Consider the following 6539-nt stretch of genomic DNA (forward strand, 5'->3'; position numbering starts at 1 on the left):
TTATCATTAACTACTATTGTATCAATATGATCACACCATGTCATATCATATTATATTATATCATATATACACATATATATGTATATATCATATATATACATATATATATGTTTAAAGACATATATATATGTGTGTGTATATATATATGTGTTTAAAGACAGGATCTTTCTATGTTGCCCAGGCTGGAATGCAATAGCTATTCACAAGTGTAATCATAGCACACTACGGCCTCAAACTCTTGGACTCAAGCAATCCTCTCGCCCCAGCCTCCTGAGTACTGGAACTACAGGCACATGCCATGATGGCCAGCCATACAATATATTTTTATTTGCTTGTCTATTTATTTATTTTCTATTCTCTCCCAAATAATATGCAAGCTCTAAGAGGACAAGGACTTTGTGTCTTTGGTCTCTGATGCTCAGAGAATATTTGTTGAGTGAGTGAATGAATGAATGAATGGTGGACATTCAATAAATAATTCGATAAATAAATAATTGGTGATCAAATGAACAAATGGGGCAGGAGTTCTAAGGGATCTAAATCAGACTGCCAGAAGAGCAGGGGTAAGGTGTGATCAAGTTTGGGAACCGCAGGCATGGAAAGAAAAAAGTTCACAGACACTATTCAGAACTTTTCGTGAGTGTGTTTATTAACTCTTACTCCCCACGGGCAAGGCTGGGTTTTGGTGAGGGAAAGAAAAGACCCTCATTGAGGACATTGCTGGGTAAAAAGCCTTCAGAGAGCTACCTACTCTTTGTGGGTGTGGTAATGGGCAGCCTTCAGCGCAATGGCTACCAGGGATATGAATTCTTGAAAGTCGACCTGTTCATCTTGATTAGCATCCAGGCCTTGGAATATTTCATCAATGACAGCTTTATCTTTGATATTCTAGGAAAAAAGGACAACAGAGACCTTGAGTTCAGAACCTCCACACAAGACCCTTTCTTAGGCCTCTTATCCCTCAGAGCTCGGGTTGTGAAGGCCCAGGCACATTAACTCATTAGCCAACACTGTGTTGGAGAATCCAGTGTAACAAAACAGAGAACACAATGGTCATGAACCACCCTGGAATTAACAAGGCTTGACCTGGAAGGTACTCTTCTGCTCACTCATTCAACCCCTCCCGTGCCCTGCCTCTCTCCATTTTACATATGAGGAAACAGACTCAGAGAGAGGAACTGAGTAGAGCCTTAAGTGAGTTATTGAGAGAGGGAAGCAAAGGACCTCTCCCACAGCAGCGGGGAGAGCATCCTTTGGGAGCTCAAACTGGGGCCAACCCCACCCCAGTCCTTGTCCCACCATCCTCTGCCAGGCCTTGCCACTCCCCTCAGTGCAGGGTCATGGGCAAGTTTGCAGTGAGAGGGGCATCACCTACCTTGATGGTGTTTGCAAGCTCCTTTGTAAGCAGCTGCTTCAGCTCACCCTTAGAGAGGGTGTCAAAATGCCCCTTCCGAACTGAGTATTGGTGGAAGATATTGACAATTCCCTCCAGATGCTCTTCAAGTTTTGTCATCTTCCCAGCCTAATGTTAACCTTCAAGGAAACAAGGGAAGTCTAGAGGCAGTTTCTCCCCCACCCCTCAACCTCCACTCTCCCCTCTCTTTCTGAATCAAGGGCCTAAAGAAAACATAACATCCTCCATATCTATTTTGTGGTCTCTGCTCTGTTTGATCCATGGTGAACTTCTCATGTGTGGATAGGATGGGGAGGAGAAAACATATAATACTGTCTAACGTCTAAAAAAATCAGCCTCAGTTGCCCATGTTCCATACCACCTCATCCACCGGGGTGCATAACTTGGAGGGTATTGCTTACTCAAGGTCCCTTGGGAAGGGTTCTGTGATTGGCCAGGCTGTTTGCTTTCCTCAGGTGATGGCACTATGGCCACATATCCCCCACAAATGGTCCATAACCCACCCCTGCTTAGCCATTCTTTTTTTGTTGTTGTTGTTTTGGGTTTTTTGTTTGTTTGTTTGTTTGTTTTTGAGACGGAGTCTCACTCTGCCGCCCAGGCTGGAGTGCAGTAGGGCGATCTCGGCTCACTGCAAGTTCTGCCTCCCGGGTTCACGCCATTCTCCTGCCCCAGCCTCCCGAGTAGCTGGGACTACAGGCACCCGCCACCACGCCCGGCTAATTTTTTGTATTTTTTTAGTAGAGACGGGGTTTCACCATGTTAGCCAGGATGGTCTCGATCTCCTCACCTCATGATCCGCCCGCCTCGGCCTCCCAAAGTGCTGGGATTACAGGCGTGAGCCACCGTACCCGGCCTGCTTAGCCATTCTTAAATCATGGGACTGAGTCTACATAGCACAACAAGAGCTGATCTACTTGGGTCCAAAATGCAATATCACCCCAGAGGTGCTCAGGCAAGTGGAGGGTTGTGGTTTCCAACACCTTGTGATTTCAAAGTGGTCACCTGCAGTCACTACCCTGTGGACCACCTAAGAACCCATCCAAGGAAAATGCACTTACCCCTCAATGCACAGGAATGTGGAGCTACAGCAAAAAGCCAGCAGTGGTGAAGGGCACTGAGCCAAGGAAGGTTTTATAATCAGTTCAGGCTTCATCTTAGCCCTTGGGTGAAGAAATCTCTGATTCATCTTGAGGCAATTTATGTAAAGTACTCTGTTGCTCAATAGAAGCTTCAAACCTGTGGCTTAGGCTGCCACAGGAGCAGCCCAGATTGTACCCAGACTGAATTTTGCCCTCCTGCTCAGCCTGAAACAAAATCACCCCCACTCCACCCACCCGCACAGGGGTGCCCTGAACCTTTTTTAGCCCTGAGCCAGGGCCCAGGTTTCAGGTTTAGCTCTACTCCACTGCTCCCTAATAAAAGACTAGGAGAACAAACTTTACAGCCTGAGTGTCTTGTTTTAACAGATGAGGTTACCAGCTCTTCAGTTTTGGCAAATGGAATATCAACTTAAAGATCTTTATGCAGCTAAGGAGATAGGTAGGGAGACCTCCTCCTAAGTCGTTCTGGGATGCAAAGTTCATCACTGGAGCAGAGGATCAGTTTTCAAAATAGATTCCAAGGTTTTCAAAAAAGGAGAGAGCAATGCTACTATGCCTCCCCTTTGCTTTCCCAACTTTCTAACTTGGCTGTTACAAAGACCTAGAAAGCTGGAGTAGGGTAATCATTGTGTGTGAAGAAAGTTCACCATGCCTAGGTTACTTTACCATGTTCATGAGTTCAGTAAGACAGAACATTCACACGAGTTTTAGTAAAGCAACTTTATTACTCACAGAGAGGCAGCAAGGGACAACAGATGCCCAGGATTCATGGAGAGGTGGTCCTTCAAGATTCAGAAACCTGCCCAAAATGGATTAAGTCTCATCTGTACATTCCCCATGTCGCACCAAAGCTAAGGGACATCCAAAAGCACTCTGCCCTTGGTTTATGCCTAGAGGTCAATAAGATTGCTGAGCAATCAAGGCCATGCCAGAACCTGTGCTGCCATCTACCCCACAACACAGATATCCCCCTTAGCAAAGCTAGTTCATTTCATGTGCCCACCGACCTCTCTGGATCTGGAGGCAAAAGTCTGTCTCTCCGATCCATGTGTCACCTTGACTGACACAATCTCAGTGCAACATTGTTAAGCCATTGACAGTATTTGTTTCACTAGGCCCAGGAGGACACCACCAGAGCAGGATGATCAGGCTTGTGTAAATCAATGACAATGACCAAGGTGAATCTCAATCATTTTAGGAGGTTTATTTGGCCAAAGTTAAGGATGCGTGCCCAGAGGTAGGTCTACGTCTTTCTCCAAAGATGATTTTGAGGGCTTCAATATTTGAAGGAGAAACAGTGGATATTGGGGGAAGAGGAAGAAATATTTTTTAAATGTGTCAGTAGATAAGAGACAAGTGATTGCATCCTTTTGAGTCTTTGATCAATCTTTCACTGAATACACAATTTTCATGTGGGAGCGGAGTAGAGGAAATAGTCACTTATGCCTTCATCTGGCTCAGTGAATCTGCATTTTTACATAAGATAACAAAAATAGGGGAGAGGAAGCAATCAGATATGGATTTGTCTTGGGTGAGCAGAGGGATGACTTTATGTTCTGCCCTTTGTCCCACACCTGTGAAGATAAGCTGTCAATTACACTGCCAGGGTGAAATTCAATAGAACTGTTTTAGGGTAAAGATCTTGAGGCTCACAAGGAATTTCCTTGTGGGCAAGTTGTGAGATTGGTGTATGGCTTTTTATCTTTGTAGCTATCTTATTTAGAAACCAACCTGGGTGGGGGCAGGCTTGCATGACCCATTTCCCAGCTTGACTTTTCCCTCTGGCTTAGTAAGTTTGGGATCCTGAGATGTTTTTTTTTTTTCACATCTGCCTGGAGAAGGGACTAGCCCAGGATCCCAGCCATCCAGGCAAGAGGTTGCTAAATGCGGATCACGAGGTCAGGAGATCGAGACCATCCTGGCTAAGATGGTGAAACCCCATCTCTACTAAAAATACAAAAAATTAGCCAGGCATGGTGGCAGGCACCTGTAGTCCCAGATACTCAGGAGGCTGAGGCAGGAGAATGGCGTGAACCCACAAGGCGGAGCTTGCAGTGAACCGAGATCGCGCCACTGCACTCCAGCCTGGGCAACAGAGTGAGACTCCCTCTCAAAAAAAAAAAATAGAAATCAAAAAAGCAGGAACACAGCCTCACATACAAATATTAACCTCCAATGTGAATGGCCTAAACACTGCACTTAAAACACATACCTTGGCAAATTCGATTTAAAAACAAGACCCATCCTTCTGCTGTCTTCAAGCACCTGTCTCATGTGTAATGACACCTGTAGATTCAAAGTAAAGGGATGGAGAAAGATCTATCATGCAAACAGAAAACAAAAAAGAGCAGAGGTTGCTATTCTTGAATCAGATCCGATAGACTGTAAGCCAACAACAGTAAAAAAGGATAAAGAAGGGCATTACATAGTGATAAAGGGTTCGATTTAACAAGAAAATTTAACCATCCTAAATAAATACACACCCAACACTGGAGCACCCAGATTTATAAAATAAGTACTTCTGCATCTAAGAAAAGATTTTGGCAGCCACACAATAATAGCAGGGGACAACACCCCACTGACATCAGTAGACAAATCATCAAGGCAGAAAACTAACAAAGAAATTATGGACTTAAATTTGACACTTGACCAATTAGACTTAATAGACATCTATAGAACAATGCACCCAACAACCACAGAATATATATTATTTTCATCTGCACATGGAACATACTCTAAGATCAACCACATGCTCAGTCATAAGGCAAATCTCAATAAATTCAAAAAAATCAAAATCATACCAAGAATCTTGGACCGCAGTGGAATAAAAATAGAAATCAATACCAAGAGGAACTCTCAAAACCACACAAATAAATGGAAACTAAACAACTTGTTCCTGACTTTTGGTTAAACAACAAAATTAAGGCAGAAATCAAAAAATTCTTTGAAACATACAAAAATAGAGACACAACACAACATATCAAAACATCTGGAATGTAGCAAAAGTAGTGTTAAGAGGGAATTTTTTTTTTCATCTTGGATGTGGGCGAATCTCATTTTAATTGCAAAAGACTTCATTCACAGCACATTCAATAATGGACCAACAGGAGAGTTGCTGGCTTTTGAACATATGAATATATAAAAATACCTTGCAACTTAGGTAGTCAAGATAATAAGTGCATAAAAGGAAAGCAATCCTCATTTTTCTGAAAACTTTTACATTTTAAAAGGTGACTAGGCATACTTGGAAGTTCAAAGCTGTAGAATGTACCTTGCAGGGGAAGAAGGAGGAAAATCCTTTCCATGTTTTTAGGTAAATATATAACAAATATATCCCAATTCCACTTGATAAAGTCAGTTGCATGACTTCCTTGAACCAGGCTAGGGCAGAACACTCAGTAAAAGCAGGCCCTGGGTGGGGATGTGAATCCTGAAGAGGAGCACCAGATCCCACGCAGCACTAAACACATCAGTTTTACCCTCTAACATAGATGAGGCACGCCGCCCCATGACCCTGGACAGGGGATGCAGGAGAACAGACATCAGGTGGTTACTGCTCCCACTGCCTGGTGCTTTCCAATGGTTTTAAGTCAGGCCATGGAGAAAATCCTTTACCACCAAACACAAACTGCCATTGAACTTGTCATAAAGGATGTTATGGGGGAAATTCTTGAAACACATACATAAGGACTTCTATTTACCTAATTAGAAAAATGATTACAGAATTGGCATTCCTGTTTTCGTAAGATTTTGTTCTCTACATTGGAAAGGTTTAAGAAAAGTTGTCTATTTTTGGTTTTATTTTACACTTTCAAAAGAGAGGGAACAGAGAGAAACGTATGACTAACTGCCCAACTTTGGGGTCCCACAGGTATGAAAGCAGACTTCTCTGACTCTAGGTCCATCTAGATTTGGGGGAAGTTTACATTCCTAGGGAGGGTTAGTGAAGCCTGTTACACCCCCAATCCTACAGAAAGTATTCTACAGCCAATCTATCACAGTGTTCTAACAAAGCATATGTTGAG

The 6539-nt window shown here is 43.2% G+C and overlaps 1 protein-coding gene across 1 annotated transcript; it reads right to left on the reverse strand.

Moving 5' to 3' along the window:
• Window positions 1-631: 631 nt before the first annotated feature.
• Window positions 632-2542, reverse strand: S100A12 (S100 calcium binding protein A12). Its single transcript, NM_005621.2, has 3 exons — window positions 2473-2542; window positions 1376-1533; window positions 632-888 (listed from the first exon to the last, which is right to left on the reverse strand). The coding sequence occupies exons 2-3, from the start codon at window positions 1511-1513 to the stop codon at window positions 748-750; spliced, it is 279 nt and encodes a 92-aa protein (NP_005612.1). The 5' UTR covers window positions 1514-1533; window positions 2473-2542; the 3' UTR covers window positions 632-747.

The sequence above is a fragment of the Homo sapiens genome, chromosome 1 (genome assembly GCF_000001405.40).
Source record: "Homo sapiens chromosome 1, GRCh38.p14 Primary Assembly".
Taxonomy (NCBI): Eukaryota; Metazoa; Chordata; class Mammalia; order Primates; family Hominidae; genus Homo; species Homo sapiens.

What these genes read in the sequence shown, in the direction of transcription:
- S100A12 (NM_005621.2), bottom strand. Translation starts at nt 1,513, where the DNA reads ATGACAAAACTTGAAGAGCATCTGGAGGGAATTGTCAATATCTTCCAC. An exon ending in AGCTTGCAAACACCATCAAG is followed by an intron (nt 889 to 1,375) that starts GTAGGTGATGCC and finishes CTTTTTTCCTAG; the next exon opens with AATATCAAAGATAAAGCTGT.